The sequence below is a fragment of the Homo sapiens genome, chromosome 2 (assembly GCF_000001405.40).
Source record: "Homo sapiens chromosome 2, GRCh38.p14 Primary Assembly".
In the NCBI taxonomy this organism is placed as follows: Eukaryota; Metazoa; Chordata; class Mammalia; order Primates; family Hominidae; genus Homo; species Homo sapiens.
This window is the reverse complement of record NC_000002.12, coordinates 140,562,542-140,589,700: the sequence shown is the minus strand read 5'-3', so window position 1 is coordinate 140,589,700 and position 27,159 is coordinate 140,562,542. Positions and strand designations below refer to the sequence as shown.

Genomic DNA, 27,159 nt, shown 5'->3' with positions numbered 1-27,159 from the left:
CATTTCCTTTAGGGACTGACCCTTTCCATTCAGTAAAATTCTCTGGAGATTCATTCAGGTTGTTGCAAATATGACTAGTCTGTTCTCTTTCCTGCTGAGTAGTATCTATGATATGAATAAGCCACAGTATCTTTATTCACTTGTTGAAAGTCATCAGGGCGGTTTCTAGTGTTTGGCTATTGTGAATGAAGCTTTCATGAATATCTGTGTACTGATTCTAGAATGAACATAATTCTTCACTCTCTGTAATAAATGTCTAAGAGTTCAATCACTGGGTCATACATTAGTGGCTTGTTTAGTTTTTTTTTAAGAAACTGACAAACTGCTTTCCAGAATGACTGTACCATTTTACATTCCCACTTACAGTTTATGAGTTATTTATATATTCTAGATGATACTTTTTTGTTGGCTATGTGGTTTGTAAATATTTTCCCCCACTTTGTAGTTTGTTTTTCCATTCTTTTCACATGAGATTTATGCTGAGCAAAATTTATTTTGATTATTTTTAATTTATATTTCTTTGTCATGGTTCATGCTTTTGATGCTAAGACTAAGAATTCTTTGCCTAGCCTTAGATTCCAAAGATTTTATTCTATTTTTTCTAAAAATGTTATAGTTTCACATTTCACATTTACATTCGTAATTCATTTTGAACTTATTTTTGCATTTGGTCAGAAACTTAGGTCAAGGTCCACTTTTTTGCCTATGGATGTCCATCTTTTTTTTTTTTTTTTCTTTGAGACGGAGTCTCGTTCTGTTGCCCAGGCTGGATGGAGTGCGTGGTGCAGTCTCGGCTCACTGCAACCTCTGCCTCCTGGGTTCAAGAGATTCTCCTGCCTCAGCCTCCCGAGTTAGCTGGGACTACAGGCGTGTGCCACCACACCCGGCTGATTTTTTGTATTTTTAGGAGAGACAGGGTTTCACCGTGTTAGCCAGGCTGATCTCCTGACCTCGTGATCCACCCGCCTTGGCCTCCCAAAGTGCTGGGATTACAGGCACGAGCCAATGCACCCAGCTGGATGTCCATCTTTTCTCTAATTGCTTGTATACTTTTTTCAAAAATCATTTGGGCATAATTGTAGGTGTCTATATTGGGGTTCCCTGTTCTTTTCCATTTATTTAATGAGTTTGCCACTCTGTCAATAACACACAGCCTTGATTTTCAAAGTTATTTTAGTTATTTTATTTTCTTTGCCATTTTGCATAAGTTTTAGAATAATCTATCCACATCTACAAAATGTCTTTCATATATCTATAGTGTCGTCAGGTATATTCTCTGTCTAACTTTTTTAGCAGTTGCTTTAGGTACTGCAGTATATATTCATTACTTATCAGTCTACAAGCATCACCATTTACCCAGTAAAGCGAAGCATAGAAACTTTACATCCCTTTATGTTTCTTTAGCCTCCCCTGTTTGTAATATAATTATCTTCAAGATTTACTCTGCACACAACAGTGTTAGATTTTTTTTGCTTCAACCATCAAACAACTTAGAAAACTCAGTATAAGGAAAGCCTACTTTTATGTACCCGTATTTTTGCTCACAGTGTTCTTTCTTTTTTCTTGATGTTCACAGGCTTCTTCTTTAATTGCTTACTTCCCTATTGCTTTCGAAAATTCCTTTTGTCCATTCTTTGCCATCTGTTGTGGCATATTATCTTAATTTCCTTTCATCTGAGACTGTTTTGATGTTCTCTTTATTTCTGATATTTTCACTTGGCATAGGTCACTGGGTTGACAGTTTTCATTTCATATTTGAGAAATATTGGGCCACTTCTTTCTGTTCTCTGTGATTTCTGATGAGATATCTATTATTATTAAAATTGTTTTCTTCTATGTAACATGTCATTTCCCCCTCGCTGCTATTAAGATTTGCTTCTTGTCTCTAGTTTTCAGAAGTTTATTTTTATTTTTAATCAGCAAATAATAATTGTGTATATCTCAGGAGTACAAGGTGATGTTTTGATATATGTATGTATTGTGGAATGATTCTTCAGGCTAATTAACATGTTAATCATAACACCCATGTACTTACTAATTTTTGTGCTATTTATCTCCAAAGTTAATTTCTCGTGTCTAACTGGAAATTTGTATCCTTTGACCAACATCTTATTCCCCATCCCATCTTCACTCCAGCCTTTGGTAGCTACTATTCTACTCTCTACTAATAAGAGTCTGACTTTTTAGATACCACGTGTGAGCTCATGAAGTATTTGTCTTTCTGTGTCTGGCTCATTTCATTTAGCATAATGTACTCCAAGTTCACCCATGTTGTCACAAATCACAATTTCAGAAGTTAAATTATGATGCGTCTTGGGTTTATAGTCTCTGAGCTTTAGTCTGCTTCTCGAATCTGTAGGTATATGTCTCTTGCCAGATTGGTGGTTTTCAGCCTTGACATTTTTCAAGTCCTTTTTAGCCCCACGCTTTCTCCTCTCCTTGTAGGACTCTTTGACATGAATGTTAGGTCTTTTACTATAGTCTCACAGGTCACTGGAGCTTCGTTCAGTTTTCTTTCTTTCTGCTTTTTCTTTGTTGTTGTGACTGGCTATTTTCTATTATTCTACTTTTTAGTTTACTGACACATCTTCCATTTCCTCCATTCTGCTGTTGAGTTTATTCACTGAACTTTTTATTTAAGTTATTTTACGTTCAGTTCTAAAATTTCCATTTTGTTCCGGTTTCTTTCTTCTATTTTTTTTACTGAGATTTTCCATTTCTTTCCTAAAGCCTTTATTTTTAAAAAAATTTTATTATAGCTACTTTTAAATCTTTTTCAGATAATTTTTACACCCCTGTCATCTTGGTGTTGGCATCTATTAGTTGTGATTTTTTCAGTCTCTTTGAAATCTTCCTAGTTCTCGGTATGATGAGTAATTTTGTTTGAACTTGAACATGTTCTACTGCATGTATCTCCGTATTTTCAACCCTTCTGTTTTTAACTGTCTTTCCCTGACATCGGTCTAGGAGGGGAAAGTGAGGGGTGCTACCCTATCGGAGTAGCAGGTCCCCCATTCAGCATTCATTGGCACCAGAGATGAAATTGGGACTCCTCTGTGCTACTGGATGAAGAGTGGGAGTTCAGGCTACCTAGATGGCCTCTACAGTGTCACCTAGAGGATGATGGTGGAAGTCCTGACCCTCCAGTGAGCTGCTTCTGACACCACCTCAGCAGAGAAGGGGTGGACACTTCATTACCATCAGGGGTGTGTGGAAGCCCAGGATCCCCACTTGGCCTTTGCTGGTGTGGGTGTGTCACAGCCTTTTTCCTGTGGTGGCTGGCTATAGTAAAGTTTTCTGCTGTGCTTGCTAGGTTGTTTCTTTCCTGGTCTTTTAGCTAGAGAGAGCAGATTATTATTTTTATTTTTTCTGTGTATGTTGCCATTTCTGGGTTGCCAGCTTATACGATTTGAGTCTGAGATATATGAGACAAAATGACACTTAGGAAACACACTTCCATGGAATTTCTTGGTCCCAAGATACCCAGCTGGGTTGCTTTTTCTCTCTACTTTTATAGTCACCTTATGTTTGTTTTATGTATAATTTCTAGAGTTTTAAGTTGTACATAAGGATCAAGAAATGTCTGTCTAGTCCATTTTTCTAGGAGCATAAGTTAGTGTGCTCATAGATTTTTAGACATTCAGAATAGAAAAAAAGGGAAACATCTATTTGAGTTTTTTTAAAGACACTTTTAAAGATCTAAGCTGATTTATGTTCTATAAGTCTGTAAAACAAGGCCCTTGCATTGCCAATGAATTTAAACAGGAATAAGACTTATTAAAGACTTATTAAACACACATGATATGGCATGAGCTGCAGGCCAAAGACATTGAAATCACTGATTTTCCACCTAAGGGAAATAAAGATTATGAAAATAAAGATGGTTGATTGTGTTGTCTAAATTTTATTGTCTTTAATGATAATGTGTAGATGTGATCACAGAGTATATAATAAAGTTTATATGAATATATGACATTGCCAAATATAGGTGTCTAAGTGAGAATAAGAAATAAGTGAAAAGAAAACTAAAATTAGTGTTAGATAACATTGTTTCAGTGTTGGACTGGTTCAAAAAAACTGTGTGATCTTGAGCAATTATTTTAATCTTTTTGAATCTCAGATTTGACATTTTGGGCTAGACTTAAAATTATTTTCCAACTCTAAGATCAGCCATTTGATATATATTTTATAACACATTCATATACATAAGAAGATGGTGCCACATCTTGAATATTTTAGACATGGAGGCAGTCTTGGTAGTAAAATAGAACATACTGCTTTTCAGGAAGCAGTATGATGTGGGAGAAATTAATAAACTTAGATTGTTTAGACATGAATTTGAAACTTAGATATAAGACCTGTTGTTTAGTAAGCCGAGGACATTTCTTAATCCTTCTACACCTTAATTTCTGCTGTAGAATATGACTAATAGTTTATGCCTCATAGGATGCATTTTGAGGAGTTAAAACGTTAATTCTTGTAAATCCCCCCTTGAATTATGAAATTTAAAAAATAAACCAAGTTTAAAATTGTGTAACTACATTCACTACACACATACACATTTGTATAAACATGAATGATAACTATATAATTAATCATAAGTTGCCTCATTTCCTCTTTTGTAGGAATAATAACATCTAAAGAAAGGCAATTTGTTTTTCATCTTTGTATCTCCAAAAGCAATATACCCAAAGTCTGATGCATTGCTATGTTCAGCAAAATTCACTGAAGAAATGAGTATACGAGTAAATAAACTAAAAGACAAATTATAAAAAGGATGCTCTGAATAAAATGAAAAAAACAAAGAGCTTAAAAAAAAGAAAAGGCCAAAATCAAAATTTTGCTATTTTGAAGGCCTCAGCTATCCAGGGTAACTGATATTCCTATCCAGTAAGATAGGAATGATATTGCAGTAGGCTTAATAGTGTTTATTTCTTACACAATTCCTTTGATTTAAGTCCACATACATTTCAGTGATGGTTCAGCTTGGTTAGTCTTGCAAATTAAAGTATTACTGAAGCCAGACTGTCTGAAAAGAGATGTGTTCTTACAGAAGAATAATGGTCAGTATCTAGGGCAACTAGTGTATTCATCCAGAAAATAACTGGTGTCCCTTCAGCATGAGATACTGATACTGATGGATTGATTTAACATTTCCTAGAAACTTTCAATTTTTAGGCATCAGATAGAATTTATCAAAAGGCCAGCAGCCACCTCTCCTACCTGCCTCATTGTATAAATTCATCTACAAAGATTAAAATAACAGATAGCTAACAAAAGCCATTCTGCTCATATATATATATATATATATATGAGCACATTTCTTCCAAATTAACTTTGCTTACAAACTGAACAGAGGGAGAAGCATACAAATAAGCTTAAAAATATTTCCTTTGGTGAAATAATTGAGCAGATAAAAGGAAAAGTAGTTTTAAAAGTTTCATGTTTGAATTCATAAAATTCTCAAATAACTTATATTAATTTTTCTCTTCTCTGAATTTCTTATTTTTTGTATTGTTCTTGAGCAGGTTATAATGTGTTTTTTGTAAGTTTTACACATAAGAAAACTAACATGAATTTATTTGAGCTTGAGGCAATATTTCCCTGTGTTTGACTCTCTGAGAACATTTAAAATGATAAAAAAGATTAAAACTAATTATTATTTTAACCATTTAAATATTATTTAAACTAGTTTACAATAAAAACTCAGGTATTGTATGACTACAGCTAAATAACTCAAGCATGTGCTTTTTCTGAACTTCCTAGCAACCAAGACATTATGGGAAGACTGTTAAGTTATACAGTGCTTTGATTTGATAGAAGAGAACAAAACTGTTTAGCAGAAAAGTCATTTTTTTATAGTCCTTTGATTTAAAATGTTATTATAACAAGATCTTTTATTTACACAGGAATTTTGAGAATATAAAAAAATAAAAATCAAGATGCTAAATTATTTCTAGCAGCACATAATAATAAATAAGTCATCAAAAGGAATATGGTTGACCATTAATATATAAAATACATTTAATAATGTACAATTACATTGTTAAATTACTAAAAGAAGCTAACATTTAAAACTAAAGTCAGTAAGATACATGACCTTAATTATTGCATAATTATGAAATGTTAAGAAATAAAAACAGAGAAAATATAAATAATATAAGTAAAGACGTATCTTAGAGGGAAGAAAAACTAAATAGTTTTACACATATTAAAGGAGAAACTGGCTGGGCACAGTGGCTCACGCCTGTAATACCAGCAGTTTGGGAGGTCAAGGCAAGTGGATCACTTGAAGCCAAGCGTTCAAGACAAGCCTGGCCAGCGTGGTGAAACCCCATCTATACTAAAAATATAAAAAGTTAGCTGGATGTGGTGGTGCTCGCCTGTAATCCCAGCTATTTGGGTGGCCGAGGCACGAGAATTGCTTGAACCTGGAAGGCAGAAGTTGAGTGAGCTGAGATCACATTACTTCACTCCAGCCTGGGCAACAGAGAGAGATGCTGTCTCAAAAAAAAAAAAAAAAAAAAAAGAAAAAAAAGGAGAAACTGTCAATAGAAACTTTCAGTAGACTCATGCTCTCATGCTAATATTTCCATGAAGATGCCAACAGAATCCTATGACCACTGATGTAGCTACTGCAAATGTGTACAATCTGTAGTTTATTCTGCTAACATGATAATTCTGCTCATTGAAGGGTAAAGTACCCTAGTATTTATTTGTAGGATCCAGAGCTGGGACTGAGCACAAATGGGGAAAGAAGGTCAAATCACCCCAACATGTAAAAGCTGAACCTAATCAACTGGCCAGTCCATTTGCATTTGGGCCTGCTGAATGGTTGGAAAATTAAAGGGCTTGTTAACTGAATGAAAAATAAATGCTGCAGTATCTTAGTCCGTTTATGCTTCTATAACCAACTACCAGAGATGGGGTAATTTATAAATAATAGAAATTTATTTCCCACAGTTCTGGAGGCTGAGAAGTGAAAGATCAAGGCACCAGCAGGCCTGGTGTCTGGTGAAGGCCTGCCTCTCATAGACGGTGCTTTATTGTTGCATCCTCGCATGACAGAAGGAATGAACATGGTTTCCTCGCATGGCAGCAGAGCGGAAGAGATCAAACCCACACACTTAGGCTCTTGTATAAGGACGGGCTAATGAGATCTCTTCCCTCACGGTTTTATCAGCTCCTAAAAGTCCCACCTCTTAATACTATCATATTGGCAATTAAGTTTCAACACATAAATTTTGGAAGACATTCGAACCGTAGCACCAATTATAACCCTGCTTTGGGCAGAAATAAGAGCACATTTGTCAATGACATATCAGAAGAGGTAGAAGAGTTTCTTACCACAGAATGTACATTAGCATCCCTTAGGGGGCTTTTACGTGATAGTGATGCCTAACCCCAATCTGAGAACAATTAAATCAGAATTCCTGTATGAGGCATGGGTCTCATTTTTCAAAGCTTCACAATTTGCATAGTGAAAATTGAGAATAATTATTGTAGTCTACTATAGGCATAACAGAGAATTTACCCAAGGTACAATCAAATACGCGGTAAATGAGAATTTTTTTTTAATTATGGTTTTGGCAGACCTAAACCAGGTATAGATATATGTGTGTCACGACCATGTTCTCTCACCTGATTCAGAATATCTGAGATAATTCGCATGAGAATCTTCATAATTTTGGCCTTTCACAGTGCCTTGCATTTTCTCCAAGACATGGGACTCATATTACCGATATTAGGGGATACACGGAAACAATATCAATTTAAAGTGAATGATGTAGTATGAAAAATCATTCTTTAGTTAATGCTCTTTCAATCCTCTGATTGACCCAGAAAGAAAATTTAAGTTTACTGCTAATAGGTATTTAATATCCCTGTGATACTTAATGAAAGAGAGAGAAAAATACAGAGAGAAGAGGGGGAGAGAAAAAGAGAACAGGAGAGAGGGAGGGAGAGAAAGATAATTCAGGCTAACATTTGGTTGGCAATACTATTTAGCTATAATTTGATAGTTTCAGTTTCATTGTAGAATTTTTTGGAGTTGCAGTCTATTCTGATACTAGATTTCCATTTATGGTAAAGAGTCAATTTAAAGAACAATTCAAAGCAAATGATAGTAGAAATTGTATTTAGATAAGGACAAAAAACGTGAAGACATTTATCTCAGTTCAGATTAGATTTGTAAAAGCATAAACAAAAAAAAAATAACAAAGCCTGAGGCAAGAGCTTATGTTGTGCTTCTCTATTAGGTATGCGATCCCGGGAAGCAATAGTGTGTGCAAGCAAAATGTGCTGAGAAGGACAAAAAGCGTATCTGAAGAGGTGTGCTACAGAGTTGGAAAAGAAATAGTTAAATGAGGACCTTGATCATCATCACCACCATACTATTTAAGGCTTATTGTGCTTTTTAATTTAGTTGAACAGAAATAGTAAATCAAAGGCGAAAACTTTGAATAATGTTACCTTCGTTAAAGTGTCTAAAGTCATTTTGACAATTATGCAAAAGAACCTTTCAATTCTGACTTCAGGTCCTCCCACTCTGTCTTCTTATATCAAACTTAAATAGAGAAAGTAAATAAAAGCAATGATGCAAGGTTCATGTCTGTAACTCATGCTCCTGGAGGACTCACCCTGCTGATATACTGCCATAACAAATTACACAACTAGTGCAGTTCTTTTGATTTATTGCTGCAATAGATCATAAGCGTGCTGACTGACATAAACATGTGTACCATAGACAGCTGGGCTTCACAATATTTTATTTCTCTCTCCTCATTTTCAAGTGCTTAGTTTGGAAAGTAAGAAAGAAAACAAATTGACACATCCAGGAGGATATTTCTGGAGCAGCCCTCCCCATAGACTGTTGAAGTAATAGCTTTTCAGTTGAGAAGTCCCAGTGCTCTTCTCTGCTTCTAGTTCCTCCCAAAGGACTGTTTAAAAAAGATAAAAAGCCATTAACTCATATGAATTAGGTTTTGATAATTCAGTCTGTAGTTTTTCTTTTTCATTTTTTTGACTGTATAAATACATAATGACAGACTTCATCCGCATTTCCTCATTCTTTCTCTGAGCTATTATGAGCTATCATGGAAATTGGAATTACAGACATTTAAAATCAAAGTAATTATTTAATAGGCTGTTACACCCCTACTTTCAAAAGGAAAACAGTTGTTCTGTCATGAGTCCAATCATTTTTTCAAACTTAAGATTTATACTGAGGTGTAAATGATCGCTTTTTATTTCGTGGTTAAAATGATGCTTCATCACGTCTCCTGAGAGCATTTCTGCAATTGGCAACACAGGGCCTTTTAATGATTTGTGTGGTCATCTGTTCTCCTAGTTCTTTGTATCTACCTGGGGAGCTGTGTGGAATGCATGATAGTATTTGATCATAAGAATTCTTTTGACCCTCCCCAATATTTAATATTTCCAGACCTTGCGTCTTTTTTGTTATGAACTGTGACTGGTCTAAGATATTACTCAATTTGCTGAGTTACATATTCTATATTTATTAATATTGCAGAAACACAAGACACTTGGTCAACAAATATAGCTCTTTATTGATACCACCAGATCAGCAGCCACAGTAACAATGAGACCATTAGTTTCCCACATCTAGACCACCAGCAATGCCATGAGAGCTGATGGAATCTTTCCAAGTGGGTGGTGGGTTAGTTCACATGGACAGAAATAGAGAACAATGGATTTTCTCCATTTGCATATATAGGATACGGTCAGCCATCCTATTTCCTTCTTCCAAAAGGAGAGAAGGAAAGCAGAAATGAAAACTTTATTCTTCTGAAAATGGTTTTTACCCTAACCTTTTTATTTTATTTTATTATTATTTTTTGAGATGGAGTCTCACTCTGTAGCCCAGGCTGGAGTGCAGTGGCGCGATCTCGGTTCACTGCAACCCCCGCCTCCCGGCTTCAAGCGATTCTCCTGCCTCAGCCTCCCAAGTAGCTGGGATTACAGGTGTGTGCTATCACGCCCGGCTGATTTTTGTATTTTTAGTAGAGATGGGGTTATGCCCTGTTGGTCAGGCTGGTCTTGAACTCCTGACCTCAGGTGATCTGCCCACCTCGGCATCCCAAAGGGCTGAGATTACAGGCCTGAGCCACCGCACCGGCCTACCCTAGCCTTTTAAAATGTAAAGATGTCTCTCCAAGGGCAAGATAAAGCCCAGGTGTCTCCAGCTTTCAGGGTGTGGAGATGTGTCCAAATTGAGGATTCATCCCTTTTGACATTTGAGATAGTGGTCATGTCTTCTGGTACTTTGGCCTTAAGTTAGGGACCTAATCCAGCTATCATTTGGTCCTGATGGGGGAGACAAGTTGTATTATCCTTTCAGATCAGAGAAATTAGCTAAAAAAAAAGCTACTGATCTAATTTTTATGACATGATAATATGTGAGGAGTACAGTATTTCTGGGGAAGGTGAAAGCAAATGTTCTCTATCTTTCTTCAATATATATTCCTGTGTCTCATGAGGCTAGGGCTTTGGCAGGAGCACTGAGAAATCCAAGGAAATTTTGTTCTCCCGAAGTGTCATATTATGCAATTTTCTTACTTAGTTCAAGGAGTTTAAGATTTCTCCCCTTCTCCTTTGCTCCCTTTCCTCTTTTTTTCTTTCTTTGTCTCCTTGTTCCCCTGTTCCGTCTCCTCGTTCCCCTTGTCTCCCTTGCTGAGAGAAGGGAGATAGACTTCCTCCTTCTGTTTACTTCTGTATTTTGCTGAGAGAAGGGAAATTTACCTCCTTTCTCTCTGAAAAATATGAGTAAACAAAATGACAAAAATCCTTGCCCTTAGGGTATATTATATTTTAGTGAGAGAACAGACATTAAACAAGATTAATTAAGTAAATAAATGCTAGTTAGGTAGTAATAAGTACTTAGAAAAAATCATCTCAGGGAGAAAGGGATTGATTTTTTTTATTTATTTTATTTTTTTTTATTATACTTTAAGTTTTAGGGTACATGTGCACTACGTGCAGGTTTGTTACATATGTATACATGTGCCATGTTGGTGTGCTGCACACATTAACTCATTTTTGAAAGTGGTTGGAAAAGTCTTCAGCAAGAGGATGACTGAGGTTTGAAGAAAGTGAGGGAGTTAGGCTGCCAGTTGGGTATTTTGGGGAATGGCATTCTAGGCAGAGTGCACTGCAAATGCAAAGGCCTTGAGCAGGGATCGTAACTGCTGAGTAGAAGGAGGCCAGGGTGGCTGGAGGAGAAGTAAAAGGAGAGCAGTAAAAGAATTTATTTTCTTATTCAATACTCATTTCCTTTGTCATTCTCACATTCTACCTTGCATGGTACTACGTTAATGGAAAATCACCAATATGTTAACTTCATTAAAAGGGGTTAAAGTCGTCCGCCCCCACCTAAAAAGTTGTGTCATTGTAGATGAGAACGAAAGTGAAAAAAAAAACTGTAAGTGTTTTAGCTTTGATAGACCAGGCTGCCTTGGAAAAAAGAAAAGTCAAAATCACATAATTAGGATTTGTCAAATGGTGCTTTTCTCTATAAAATTGGGTTGTTTAAACTTGTCCAGTTTTTTCTTGATCAAAATTATTATGCTCATTGGTAATTTTCAAAGAACACATCAGAAGTTAGAAATATGCATCATGAACATTTAAGCTGATGTGACTTTATATTTTTATTATAAAGTTTAATCATTCTTTTATATTGATGGAATTTTTAATGATTAAACTATTGAACATCATTTATTTTGAAAGAGATTAGAGAGGAAGGTTAAAAACTCATCTTTAAATAACAGTTAAATCAGAATTGCTTTTCCATTAAGATTTTTTAAGCAATATAATTAGATTCAACTGCATCCTTATTTTTCCTGCCACTATATATGACTAAAATTTGAAGGCAAAAAACTGATTTTGATCAAAATTTAAAAAATAAGGAATTCAATAAATCAAGCAAATATGGTTTTAGCAAATTCTAAAATCTGTAGTGCAACCAGGTTTGGTGGCTCATGTCCATATCTCAGCACTTTGGGAGGCTGGGGGGTGGGGAAAATCCCCTGAGCCCAGGAGTTTCATACTAGCCTGAGTAAAATAGTGAGACTCTGTTTCTGCAAAACTGAAAAAAATAAAATTAGCCAGCATGGTGGCACGTACCTGTAAGCCCAGCTACTCAGGAGGCTGAGGTGGGAAGATCGCTTGAGCCCAGGAGTTTGAGGCTGCAGTGAGCCATAATTGCACCACTGCACTCCTGCTTGGGTGACAGTGAAACCTTGTCTCAAAAAAAAAAAAAAATTCAGTAGTGGATAAAGTTCAAGCGATTCTCCTGCCTCAGCCTCCCGAGTAGCTGGGACTACAGGTGCGCACCACCAGGCCCAGCTAATTTTTGTATCTTTAGTAGAAATGGGGTTTCACCATGTTGGCCAGGATGGTCCGGATCTCTTGACCTTGTGATTTGCCCGCCTCAGCCTCCCAAAGTGCTGGGATTACAGGCATGAGCAACCACACCTGGCCAAGGTATCCTATTTCTTGCAGTGTTGTACTTGGCTTAACTTTCAAAGTTGATCTCCCAGTAGACCTCTCTATCTTCCAGTGGCAAATCTTTATTGGTAACAGAGTGAGTGCGATGGAACATGGACTGAATTTGTGTGGTAATGTTTTTATTTGTATGCAACATCTTTTGTCCACTCACTACTAACTGCACTGGGATAGAATTCAAAACACAAAACTCTTACATTGAAAAAAAAGGAATCAGTTTAATTAAAAGAAACAAAATACTCTAAATTTAAAAACTCAGGAGAACATCTAGACTAGAAAAAGCAAACAAACATTAATGGAAGCCTGTAAGAAAGGAGAGAGACTTCAATGTGTTTACTTTTGGAAGTATAGAATGAGGTGAGTATAAAATAGCAACCATCAGAATGAAGCTCAGGCCAAAAGTCGACTGGGATAAAAACTAGTTAGTCCCCGCAGGTGTAGACTACTTTTATGGTAATGATATTATAATGAAAAAAGCCAGAAACAATTGAACTACACAATAATTGATAATGGTGTGATGAGTGTTGGGAGAATTTGGGGGCAGGAAGTGGCAAGGGTTTGTATAGTGAATAACAGATGATCTTTGAAGCTGATCTTAGATTATATATGGTGAATAAAAGTGTTCTGGATATCTGACCTCAAAAATAATTGGATTCCGATGGTCTTGTATCTTCCGGTGGCATGGTTAATTTTGGCGAATCCATACACAACCAAGTCTGAGTAACTACGTTCTGAAATAAAACACTTCCTTTTTCTGATAACATTTTTAAGTTGGCTTGCTTTACCAACAATTGTTCTCCTTTTGTTCTTTCTCTGACTTACGTCTTACAAAGCAAGTAAAAGCTTTCCCAAAGGAAGTAGGAAGGAAAAGTTTGAGAGTCAACACATTTGAGAGTCTGCAAAAATCACTGAGAAATTGTTTTGTGGAGCAAAGTCTAGAGTTAGAAATTGTGCCCCAAGCTTCTGAGATATAGCTAGTATCACGAATGCTTGAATGACCACAAACATGGGTAGTGGCTTTTAAATTCTTTATTATAATATGATGGAAGCATTTCCATGGATCGTCTTCAGCACCTGAAGTGTGGAGCTTATCAAAACTTTACATGTCCTGTTGGTTTAGCATGTGGACTGCATTTCAAAAGATCAAGAGTACCAAGATCAAGCATTGTTGTTGTGATACTTTTTTGAATGACTGCTTCCTGCTTGGCTGAACGCGTTCTTTGATACTTTTTTTTTGTTTTTTGTTTTTTGTTTTTTTGAGACAGAGTCTTGCTTTGTCTCCAGGCTGGAGTGCAGTGGCGTGATCTCGGCTCATTGCAACCTCCACCTTCAGGGTTCAAGCACTCCTGCCTCAGCCTCCCGAGTAGCTGAGACTACAGGCACACACCACCATGCACAGCTAATTTTTGTATTTTTGGTAGAGATGGGGTTTCACTATGTTGGCCAGGATGGTCTTGATGATCTCCTGACCTCATGATCCTCCCGCTTCAGCCTCCGAAAGTGCTGGGATTACAGGCATGAACCACAGCGCCCAGCCTGATTCTTTTTAGAATTTTTCCTGAGCTAAAACCCTATTCCTTAGCTGCTTTTCTTCCATTCTTATTAAAATTCACAGAGAATATTGAAAGTAACCAATTATGAAATATGTAGAACTAAAAGTAAGATGATTTTGAACATAAGCCATGGCATGGTTAACAAAAATGCCATTAACTCTATTGGAAAACATACCTTACATGAATAATAATACACCATGATATGAGCACACATTAATTAATTTAGTTAATTATGTCTATATGGATTACTCATGTCTGCAAAATTAGGAGGACATTATTAGACCTTATTTCTGCCAATAGGGAGAGTTAGCATTTAGTTTAAATAATATAGCTGTTGGAAATAGATGGGCACTTAGAGATTATGCAGATAACTTTTCCCATTTCATAGAGTTGTAATTTGATCATAGTTGTTGAGCTAGTTCCTCTCTCACCCCTAACCCCCTCTGCACATACTCAACTCCTCATATCTATACACTTAGTTCAGGACTCTTTTGAGTTCATCGCAGGATCACAGTAATGTTCAGTTATAAAGCATCCCCAGGGCGAAATGTATATGATTTGTCCATCCATAGCTAGGTATCAGGGCTAAGGTGAGGAGCTGAAGATTAAGTTGGAGAGTGTAACAATATAATAATTTACTGTAAGTATTTAAAGAAGCTTCTATTTTATTTATGTGCAAGGGCAAGCTAGCACCAAATTATTTGCTATGAATGCTGAATATTTCTTTTTTATCACATATTACACTTAACACCTAAAAATGAATTCATTGAGAAATATTGGTTAATTACTTTTTTCAGTATGATTTAATATTGGTTTTAACATTTGAGTGATACTGAAGTCACTGGTTAGTTATCAAAATTCAGTTAAAGGGAGAAGGTTTTATTATCTGACATGACTAAAGGAATGCCAGGAAGTGATTTATATACTGATTAGTTCAGAACATGTCCTTGAACAATTATAGCTGCTTATTTTTTGTCATCTTCCTGGCAGCTGCCAAATTGTAATGCTTAATGATTCAACTTAAATTAACTAAAATGAATCCTTGTGGAAAACTATAATACCTGTCTAGTACAAGAGAGCTGATTATATTGCCTTCATTTACACAGAATGTATTCATAATTCACTGACACCCTCCAATCACTAAGTTATGGATATTTTTTTCCCTGAGCAAATGGAGAAATAGAACTTTGTGCAGATGTTCATGCCATTTATGGCACATTGTGTAGAATGGTCAAAGTGCTGTTGCTACCTCATGGAAATACTCAACTGAAGTTTAAATCACAAACCAAAATACAAGAACAATTTGAAGATACATACTATATATAATGTTGTTTCTTCAAGCATTTATCTTTACTATAATTTTTAATAAATAGTTTTAAATGCATGGGAAATGTTACTAAAATTTTAAAATAAATGATGTGGACAATATTAAATTACAGCAGAGCACAACATTTCATGGAATACTTGAATGTTCTTGATTTTTCCAATTTTTAATTAAACCAATTACAGGAAAGTAAATGCAAACTGTCAGAGTTTGAAATATAGATAAATGCATATAACATATAGAGAAAGTAAAACATTAAATTTTAAATTAATTTCAAAAATGGAAACATTCCCGTTATCCTCAAATCTTTCTTTTTTTCTATTGTAAAAGATCTTATTTATAGGCCATAAGAAGCATTAGTAGTACAGCTATTTAAAATGTACAGCTTAATTAATTATTTTTACTCTAATCTGTCCTTGAGTGAAATAGTTCAAAGTGTGAGAATTGCCGGGCCAACATCCTCCAGGTTGTAATGGCTCTTGAAAAATCACAGGAGTGGAACTAGTGAACTGAATGACTACTTCAATAGCAGAAACCAGATATTAAGAGGGCCTTAGGAAAACACACTGACTTGGAAATAGTTGATTTCATGGTTTCATGTAGATTCTGTCAATTTTGTTTTCTTAAAGATAACTTTTTTCAGCATAGGAGAACTGTCCTCTTATTCTCTACCTTTGTTTTCCATAGAATGACTGTCATCAAATCCCAAATGGTCAAGTTGGAACAGAATAAAAACTCAGTGCATTCTATCATTTTTACTTAAATATTTAAGAAAATATCACTCAAAGATAATTTCCTTCCATTTACAAATTTGGGGTGATTAGTTATTCTTGTTTTTGAAGAAATTTGAAAATCTTTAAATCGTTTGATTTCTAAAATACTGCATAGTCTGTTGGGAGTCATAAACACTGACAAGTAATTCTTTTAGTTATAATGAAGACACTAAATCTGATCCTTTATTTCTGATCCTTCATTTTTACCCTAAATTTTCTTAATTTACTACTTTTTGGATTTTATTAATATTTTAATTGACAGCTAATAATTGTACATATTTATGGTATACAGTGTGATTTTTTGATACATGTATACAGTATGTAATGATGAAATTATGTTAACCATCACCATTTGCATTTTCTTTGTGTTGGGAACATTGAAAATTCACTCTTTTAACTATTTGGAAATATTCAATAAATTGTTGTTAACTATAGTCACCCTACAGTGCTATAGAACACTAGAACTTATTTCTCTCTTATCTAGTTGTAATTTTGCATTTGTTAACCGACATCTCCTTTTTCTACTTCTGCCACCCTCTAGTAACCACTATTCCATTCTCTACTATGGGATCGATGTTTTTAGCTTCTACACATGAGTGAAAACATGTGATATTTATCTTTCTGTGCCTGGTTTATTTCACTTAAAATAATGTCCTACAAACTTCCATGTTGCCATGAATGATAGTGTTTTATTTTATTTTATTTTATTTTATTTTATTTTATTTTATTTTATGGCTGAATAGTATCTCATTGTGTATACGTACCACATTTTCTTTATCTATTGCCCTGCTGATGAACAGTTAGGTTGATTCTGTATTTCGGCTATTGTGAATAGTGCTGTAATAACACATGGGAATGCAGATATCTTTTTGACATACTAATTTTCTTTCCCATGGATATAAGCTCAGTTGCAGGATTGCTGGTTCATATAGTAACTCTATTTTTTATTTTTTGAGACCCTTCAATATTTTTTTCATAATGGCTGTTTTATGTTCCCACCAACAGTATATGAGTCCCCCTTTCCACACATTTGTTATTTTTTGTCTTTTTGATAATAGCCTTCCTAACTGGGGTGAGATGATATCTTATTTTGGTTTTGATTTGCATTTCCCTCATGATTAGTGATGTTGACCGTTTTTTCAGATACCTGTTGGCCATTTATTTGCATGTCGTCTTTTGAGAGATGTCTATTCAGCTTATTTGCCCACTTTTTTTAATTGAATGATTTTTTTTTCTGTTGAGCTTTTTAGGTTCCTTATGTATTGTGGATATTAATCACTTACCAAATAAATAGTTTACAAATATTTTCTTCTCTGTAGATTGTCTCTTCACTCTATTAATTGTTTTCTTTGCTGTGCAGAAGCTTTTTAGATTCATATAATCCCAATTGTCTATTTTTGCTTATGTTGTCTCTGTTTGTGAGGTCTTTTTCATAAAATATTTTTCAAGACCTATAATATCTTAAAGCATTTCCTTTATGTTTTCTTTTAGTAGTTTTATAGCTTCAAGTTTTACATTTAAGTCTTTAATCCATTTTGAATTTTTTTATATGATGAGATACAAGGTTCTAGTTTCATTCATCTGCATATGGATATCTAGTTTTCCCAACACCACTTATTGAGGGGACTATCCCCAATCAATATTCTTCAAGTCTTTGTCAAAAATGAGTTGGCTGTAAAAACATAACTTTATTTTTAAGTTATCTGTTGTTGCATTGGTCTAATTGTCCATTGTTATGCCAGCAGCATGCTGTTTTGGATTTTTACAACTATATTTTGAAGTTAGGTTTTGTGATGTCTTTATCTTTGTTTTTTTACTTTTCTCAGGATTGCTTTGGTTATTTGGGAAATTTTGTGATTTCATATAAGTTTTAGGGTTCTTTCTATTTCTGTAAAAAAATGTCATTGGTATTTTGATAGGGATTGCATTGAATTTATAAATCACTTTTGGTAGTGTCATTTTCACAGTATTGATTCATCTAAACCATAGACATGGGATGTCTTTCCACCTTGGTGTCCTCTTCAATTTCTTTTATCAGTGTTTTATAGTTTTCCTTGTTAAAATATTTCACTTCTTTGGTTAAATTTATTCCTAGGCATTGTATTTCCTTAAAACTATTGTAAATGGAATTGCTTTCATGATTTCTTTTTCAGTTAGCTTGTTGTTGGTGTATAGAAATGTTACCATTTTTTGTATTTTAATCATTTTATTCTTCAAGATTACTAAATTATTTATCAGTTATAAGAGTTTTTTGGTGGAGCTTTTAGGGTTTCCTATATGGAAGATCATGTTGTCTATGCACAGGGACACTCTGACATTCCCGTTTCCAATTTTGATGCCTTTTATTTCTTTCTGTTACCTAATTGCTCAGACTGAGACATCCAGTATTATGTTGAGTGATAGTGATGAGAGTGGGAGTGCATTCTTATCTTGTTCCAGTTCTTAAAGAAAAAGCTTTCAGCTTTGCTTCATTAAGTATGATGTTAGCTTTGTGCTTGTCATATATGGCCTTTATGCATTACTTATTTACTTAATTTGTTGAGAGCTTTTATAATGAAGGGATTTTGAATTTTGTCACATGCTTTTTCTGTGTCTATTAAGATGATTATATGGTTTCTGTTTCTTATTCTGTAACATAATGTATCACATTTATTGATTTGCATACACTGAACCATCCTTGAATCTCTATAATAAACTCAACTTGATCGTGGTGAATGATCTTTTCAGTGTGCTGCTAGATCCAGTTTGCTAGTATTTTGTTGAGAATTTTTGTACTGATATTCATCATGGATATGGGTCTATACTTTCTTTTTTGTGGTGTCCTTATTTGGTTTTGATATCAAGGTATGCTGAGATTATAAAATGAGATTTGAGGAATTCCTTCTTTTTTAATTTTCTGGAAAAGTTTGAAAAAAATTATATTAGTTCTTCAAATGTTTGGTAGAATTCAACTGTGAAACCATCCAGTCCTGGGCCTTTCTCTGATGGGAGACCATTTATGAATGATACAATCTTGTTTTTCCTAAATGCTATGTTTACATTTTCTTTTTCTTCTTGGTTCAGTGTTGGTAGGTTTTATGTGTTTATAAATGTATCCCTTTCTGTTAGGTTTTCCAATTTGTCAGTATGTAGTTGTCCATAATAGATTCTACTAATCTTTTGTATTTCTGTGGTAACAGTTGTAATGTCTCCTTTTTGATTATGATTTTTGGGGTCTTTTGTTTTTTTTTCCTGGTTACCCTAGATAATGGTTTGTCAATTTTGTTTACCTTTTTGTAAAATGACTTTTCATTTTATGATTTATTGATTTTATTTTTTATTTTCAATTTCATTTATTTCTGCTCCAATCTATAGTATTTCTATCCTTCTACTAATGTTGAGTTTTGTTTACTCTTGCTTTTAAGTTCCTTAGGGTGCATTATTAGGCTGTTAATTTGATATCTTTCTACTTGATGATGAAGACATTTATTTTTATAGCCTTGCCTATTAACAATGCCTTTGCTGTATCCCATAGGTGTTGACATGTTCTGTTTCTATTTTCGTTTGTTTGAAGAAGTTTTTAAATGTCCTTCTTAATTTTTTTATTAACCCAATGGTCATTCAGGAGCATGTTGTTTAATTTCAGTGTGCTTTCAAGAGTTTCTCTTTTAATTGATTTCTAGTTTTGTCCCATTGTTAAAAAATATACTTGGTATGACTTCCATTTTTAAAAAATTTGATGAAATTTGTTTTGTGGCCTAAAATATGGTCTATCCTGGAGAATGTCCCATGTGCTCATGAAAAGAATGTTTATTCTGTAGCTGTTGCATAAAATGTTCTATAAATGTCTGTTAGGTCCATTTGGTTTAAAGTGTTATTTAAATCCAATGTTTCCTTATTGAATGTCTATCTAGATCCTCTGTTCAATACTGAAAGTGGAGTGTTGAAGTTTCTATTATTGGAGCCTATCTTCCTTTCTTCAAAATTAATAACATTTGGTTTATATTGTGTGCTCTAATGTTGGGTGTATATATAATTATTTACAATTATTCCATCCTCTTTGCCATTACATAATGACCTTCTTTGTCTCTTTTCACACTTTTTGACTAAAAGTTACTTTTGTCTGATGCAGATATAGTTACTTATGCTCACTTTTGGGTTTTGTTTGCGTGGAATATCTTCTTTCTCCCTTCACTTTCAGTCTATGTTTGTCTTTATAGGTCAAAGAAATTCCTTTTTAAGTAGCATACTGCTGGGTCTTGTTTTATTATTCTTTCAGCCAGTCTATATGTTTTAATTGAGGAATTTAATCATTTTCATTCGAGGTTATTATTAATAGGATATACTCCTGTTGTTTTTTAAATTGTTTTATTGTTTTGTGTAGTTTGTTCCTTTATCCACCTCTTATTATTTATCATTGTGGTTTTTTTGTTGATGTTGTTGTGATAAGGTTTGGTTTCTTTCTCTTTCTCTTTTGTGCATCTTGTGCATCTGCTTTACCACTTTATACTTTTGAGTGTTTTCATGTAGATTATCCTTTTGCTTCTAGATGTAGGACTCACTTGAGCATTTCTTGTAAGGTTGGTCTGGTGATAATGAATTCCCTCATTTTCACTTGTCTGGGAAATATTTGATTTCTCCTTAATTACTAAAGGTTAGCTTTTCTTGGCATAATTTTTTGGCTGGCAATTTTTTTATCTTTCATTTCTTTGAAATAATGTAAAAACCTTTACATTATTTCCTGGTCTGTAAGGTTTTAGCTGAGAAGTCTGCTGTTAATGTAATGGGGATACCCTTATATATGACTTTACACTGTCGTCTTTCAGTTTGTAGCATTCTGTCTTTGACTTTTGACAATTTAACTAGAATGTGCTTCAGAAAGGAACTTTTTTGAGTTGAATATATTTTGAGATCTGCAAGCTTCCTGAATCTGACTGTTTATATCTCTATCAAGATTTGGACAATTTTCAACTATTATTTAATTAAATAGGTTTTCTACAGATTTTCTCATCTCTTTTCCTTCATAATTACCACAATGAAAATATTTGTTCATTTAATGGTGTCTCATAGTTCTGTAGACTTCCTTTACTTTTTTTCATTATTTCTTCTTTCTCTGACAGAATAATTATAAGTAATCTATCTTCAGATTAAGAAATTCTTTATTCTGCTTGATCTAGTCTGATGTTGAAACTCTCAGTTATATTTTTTTATTTTATTCATGGAATTAGTTTCAGGGTTTATGTTTGGTTCTTTTTATGATATTTATCTTTTTATTAAAATTCTAATCCATTTGGTATTTTTCCTCTCTGATTTTGTTGAATTGTTTACCTGTATTTTTTTTTTTTTTTTGGACCATGGTGCATTATCTTAAGATTATTATTTTGAATTTCTCTTCTGGCAATTTATAGATTTTCTTTTCCTTTGGGTCAGTTTCTGGAGAGTTATTTTGCTCCTTTGGTAGTGTCATATTTCCTTCTTTTTTTTGTTTCTTGTGTCCCTGCTTTGTTGTCTGTGCTTCTGGTGGAACAATCACCTCTTCAAATGTTATGGTGTGGGCGTTACAGAGAAAGATGTTTATCCACAGATGGGTCTTAGTGTACTGGTTACGAAGGGTGTGATGACTCAGGTTCTGAGTAAAAGCAGTGATACAGTCTCTGTGAAACTTCTTAAGCAGCAATCAACATCAGTAATAACTATGAGTGTCTCAATAATTTTGACTATGGAAGTTTGTGGTAGCAGCAGAGGTAGCATATGTTGTTAAGGTCTTTGGTGGCAATGGGTTTTGATGGAGATTTAGCCAAGGAGATCCCTCTTTGTTTTGGGTCTGACATAGGCGACAAGCAACTGTGGTGGCACAGGGTTCTAGTTGTTTGGAGTAGCTATGGAGCCTGGGTCATAGGCTTAAGGTCTTGTGAACCTACTTTGGCACCTGGGTCATGAGGTGCAACTTCACTCTTTGTTCCAGAATTGGATGTTGATTGCTCAGACAACCAGGATCTATGACTCTGAGACAACCCCTAGCAGCTTGGGCTCAGTGGGTCAGGATGTAGCTGTGATTCTGCCCCTGTGGGCACAACACGGGCCAAACTCTGAGGAAGAAAGGATTCTCTGGAGGTTTGGGCGTGAGGAGCAAAGTATGGCTGAATTTGGGAATCAGAGACAATAGGTCTCAGTGGTAACTTGGCTCCCAAGGAATAAGTCAGCAGATAGTGGTGACTCTAGACCCTGGGATTGTAGGACTTGTCAGTATCCCAGATTCTGAGGCCAAGTGCAGTAGCAGTAAGTAGTCCAAAATGGCAGAACACAGCTGTTGCTTGGACCCTGGGGGCAAGGGGCAGCTCAATAATAATTGTACTTCCCAGAGAGAAGGTATCTCAGCAGCTTGGACTCAAGGAGTCTAGTCGAGCTTTAGGGAAATGGAGTATTAGAGTTGTTTGTCTTATGGGGCAGGGTGTCTCAGCCTAGCCATTTTTGTTTCCATGGAATGTGGGGTACTATAGCAGCTCAGACTTGGGATGTGCCGCTGCTTAGTTCAGCCAAGCTACCAATTCCCCAGGTTGCAATGTGTCACTTCAGCTCAGGATCGGGGGTGAGGGTGTGATTGTTCTAGGTAGCCCAGGAACTGTTTCCCTGGGATGTAGTGCATCCCTTCAGCTTAAGTATTGTGCATGATCACTGTGGGTGACCACACCCCCATTTCATAGGAGTCAGGCTGCTGCTTTAACTTAGGCACTGTTGAGGTTCTGGCTGACCAGGGTACAGTATGTTTTCCCAGGAGGTGTGATACTGCTTCAGCTCAGGCACAGGTATGTTACTTCTCTGAGAGGCCAAGGAACAGTTTCCCTGAGAAGCTAGGCATTGCTTCAGCTTTAGCGTAGTGGGCAAAGTGCAGCCAAAACTGGGAGGGGTATATGGAGTGGCTCCATCAAAGCATCATGTCCCTGGGAGGCAGTGCACAGCTTCAGCTTGAATACCATGGGGCAAATCTCAGCAGCAACTGGGATGGGTTTTTGAAGTGTCTCTACCAGGGCACTCTTCCCTCCGGAGGCAGTGCTCAACTCCAGCTGAGGCCCCTAGGGACAAGTGCAGCAGTGGCTAGAAGGTATAGATAAAGCAACTCTGGCCAGGTACTGTTTTTTCAGGAGGAGGTGAACAACTTTAGCTCCAGCCCCTAGTTGCTGGGCTCAGCAGTGACTCTTGGGTATACATGGGATGGTTCTGCCAAGGCACTGTTTTCATGAGAAGCAGTAAGAGCTTCAGCTCAGCCTTCTAGGGGTAGGGCTCACCTGCAACTGGGAAGGGTAGGGTGGAGGACTTCTACAACTGCTTGACCCCCTGGCGAAGGGGTTAGCAGCTACTTGTGGAATGGCTTGGGAATGTCAGGACACTGGGCAGGGCTGGTTTGGCAGCAGCTTAGTCTCAGTGATAAAAGAGTGCCATGGCCACTCACCTCTGGAGCCACATACACACCATCAGTAGTTGCAGTTCCAAAATGGCATAGCAGAGAAGCCATGCAGGGTACAGGGAGTGGGACACAGTGTCACTCCTTCTCTGGGGGAAGCATAGCCGTGTGGACTCCAGGCAGCTCCTTCAGCTGGGCTTCGTGCCTGTGAGGACTGCGGGGGTCCCCAGTGGTGAGTACTGTAAGTGTCCAAGGTGTTAATGGGAGCTACTGGGATCCTTTTGTTTACCTTTTCCCCACTGGGAGAAGTTCCTCCTGACTCCCAGCTCATCCCAGGAGAGGAATGAAGTGGTGAGGGCCAGGTGTTTCTTTCAGTTTTCTGTGTGGCTATCCTGAGCTTTTCTGCTCACTAGGGTTTCTGTTACTCCTTCGATGTACTCTGGTGCTCTCCTTTATTTACTTTCATGAAAATGCAGTTGTTTATTTGTTGTTTTGGCTGTTTTTGTTGGGAAATGAGCACTAGGGATTTCTTATCAAACATCTTGCTAATGTCAGAATCCCTTGCCACTTATTTTAAACTGTGCAGAATTTCAGGTGAAAATATAATTTCTTTATAAGTAAATATCCTTATTTAATTAAAACAAAAAATGTAAATAAGTAAAACTTCCCATATAATGAGGGATCTGGTAAATTGGCACCATTTCAATTTTTGTTGAGAATATTAATATAGAAAAGTAAACATGTTTTCTAAGTGTAAAAATTGAAGAATCTTAAATCCTAATTTTCAAACATTTTATTATTACATGGGTTAAAATATGCTGTGGCCAATAATATATCTTCAAAAAATTACAATTCAGAAAAAATGATATATAAAACAATTTTTATGACATATATTCATCATATCTTTAAATGTTCATGTAAAAGTTCAGCAATGTGTGTATATATACAGATATATATGTCATAAAATAAAATATATATTATATATTATTACGTAATAAACAATTAGAGGAATATGGAGTATGTTTGCCATATTCTTCAGGCTACTTTTTTTCCACTTAGAATCTGCCGTGAAAAAAAATCTGTTTTTCTCAGTGTGCTTCCATTTTTCCTCTGAAAATTGCAATAAAAAAATCCTAAAGTAATACTATCTTCTTAAATTGCAGCTAAATCATACCAGTGTTTCTTGAAAGACACACTTTAAAAAATATACAAGTAGATCTTTCAGGATATCAATGTTTCTGAAACAACAAGAGTGGCTTTAAGTTATGCTGAAATGCTAAAACTTAGTATATCTTAAGCTCCTGACTAGATTTAATTTGAAATACTTTTATAACAAAGAGCTTCTCAGAGTCTATTTGGTGCCTTGCTTTCTTCTGATTTTTAATTAAACTGTATACATCACAAGAAGTCCTGTAATTCTGTATATATTTGTTTCTCTATTTAAAAATTTTACTTTTTAATTGAGGAAAGCCATTGATGACTGGAATAAGAGAGTTTCCATTTTTATGCTGTCAAGGTTAATCATTTTGGAAGTCAGGAGGATATCTTAGTATTGAATGCCAAATAGCTTTCAATGACATTTATCTCCTAGCATAACATTTTTTATTGATTATATGAGTATTCATATTTTAGTGTTTGCTTTTTGAATGTTACATAAGCAGTATTGAAAATAAACTTGATAAATGTGTGCTGAAAGTTCTGGTACCATTTAGAAATAACACTTATATGATATATTTGATTAAAGTGGTTTTAAATTCTAATAGAAAATCTGAAATCCAAGGATATCTCTTAGTTTTTGTTATTGTATGTGGAAAACAATACATATTGCTAAAGTGAATATCTAAAGGATTTTTAATTTGCTACCAGGTTTCAAAAATAAGGAAAAAAATTTCAGTTGTGCCACATTACAAGTTAGTAAAATAGGAAAATCTTAGTTCAGAAAAACTAAAGAATGTAAGGAGAGTTTATATTGTAATGTGGCATTGTATTCATCTAATTAAATCTTCCATTACCCAATTTCAATCACATTTCAAAGTCATGTATTCTTTGAATAAAATTCTCTTTCAATGAATGCAAAATGCACTAACTCTATATTACTATCAGAGGAGAGATAAATTATTGACAAAACAACCCAAAGAGTGTTATCTCCTTGTTACCCTGTCTACCCCTCCCTCCCATAGGGCTTGCACTTGTGTTAGTAATGAAGAAGCATCAGAATTATGACTGTGTCAAAAGACAACAGACCTTAGGCTTCTGTCCATCTACTTCAATCCATTCATCTTCTCACTTTTTCTGTCTATTCGGTAAAATATGAATAAAGTATGTAGTTCTTCATTTAAAAGACATTTGGCCTGGATTAAGATATAATAAGTGGTCACAATAGCTTTAAAACTCCTCTGAATATTTTGTTTTGAATGTAATTCCAGATACACTCAACACGGAAAGCAGTACTCTTAGTATTAAAACATGATTGAATGTCCTATAAAATGTTGGCATGATGAATCAATTTTCTCATGAAATTGCTTTGATAAAAGTACTCCATTTTCTGAGTAACACATTGTTCTGTAGGTGTAAATCAATAGAATGACACCAGTAGAGGAAAAGTGGTTACAGTATTAGAAGACAGTAATCTGCTTCGTAAGGCTGAGCTGTACAATTGTGAACTGTCAGACTGCTTTCCATTTCAGATTAGTTTTGCCTTCTAAAGTAATGCTTCATAAATTTTTTAAAATTATCATGACAAGTAAAAGAAAAAGCATTTATATAGCTTGAATTATCTAAGCAATAGAAGAATGAAATAGAAAATATCAAATTTTATTTCATGGCACTATTCAGTATTAGTAATCTCTAATATCTCTCCAACTATCACTTTAATAATTTTCTTTGAAGCCTTGATTAGACTTTGTCTGTTGTTTCACAGTAGTGCATGTGTGTATGTGTGTGTGTTTGTGTGTGTGGGTGTGTGTGTGTGTGTGAAATAATAGAGCATTTAGCTTATCATGGATTCATGGATTAGATATGGGAAACTTTGAGTTCTATGCTTGGTTCTGTAACTTAGTGTTTAATATTTAAGAAAACATTTAACACTTTGAACAGTTTCCTGGTATTAAAAATATGTACCATCTTATACCCTAGAATTGTTATTATAAGCACAACAGTAATTTAAGTTCCTTGTCTTACATTTAATTTTTTTATTTAATTTTACTTTACTTTTCAACTTAAAAAAATCTCAGCTGGGGCATGGTGGCTCATGCTTGTAATCCTAGCACTTTGGGACGCTGAAGCAGACAGATCGTTTGAGGCCAGGAGTTGGAGACCAGCCTGGCTAACATGGTGAAACCCTATCTCTACTAAAAATACAAAAATAGGTGTGGTGGTGCATGCCTGTAAATCCAGCTACTCAGGAGGCTGAGGCAGGAGAATCACTTGAACCCAGGAGGTGGAGGTTGCAATGAGCCAAGATCGTGCCACTGCACCCCAGCCTGGGTGACAGAGCAAGACTGTGTCTCAAAATAAATAAATAAATAAATAACAGAAAAGAAAAGAAATTTAAAAAAGAAAAAAATCTCAAATGGCTACAATATAGAGAGAAAATTATTATTAATC

General features: G+C 35.2%; 1 protein-coding gene and 1 non-coding gene across 5 annotated transcripts in view, besides 1 other annotated feature; both read left to right on the top strand.

The window, feature by feature from the left end:
• LRP1B (LDL receptor related protein 1B) overlaps window positions 1-27,159 on the top strand; it is a 1,899,594-nt gene that overhangs the window by 1,541,316 nt on the left and 331,119 nt on the right. The gene's annotated exons all lie outside the window — the stretch shown is intronic.
• MIR7157 (microRNA 7157) lies at window positions 3,016-3,075 on the top strand. Its single transcript, NR_106979.1, has one exon. It is a non-coding gene; the product is annotated as a microRNA 7157 (primary transcript).
• Window positions 3,188-3,237: a silencer, noted in NCBI's record as "silent region_11988". NCBI's record gives its function as "represses an Ori minimal core promoter by ATAC-STARR-seq in GM12878 lymphoblastoid cells {active_cell/tissue: GM12878}" and the evidence as "EXISTENCE:reporter gene assay evidence [ECO:0000049][PMID:35858748]".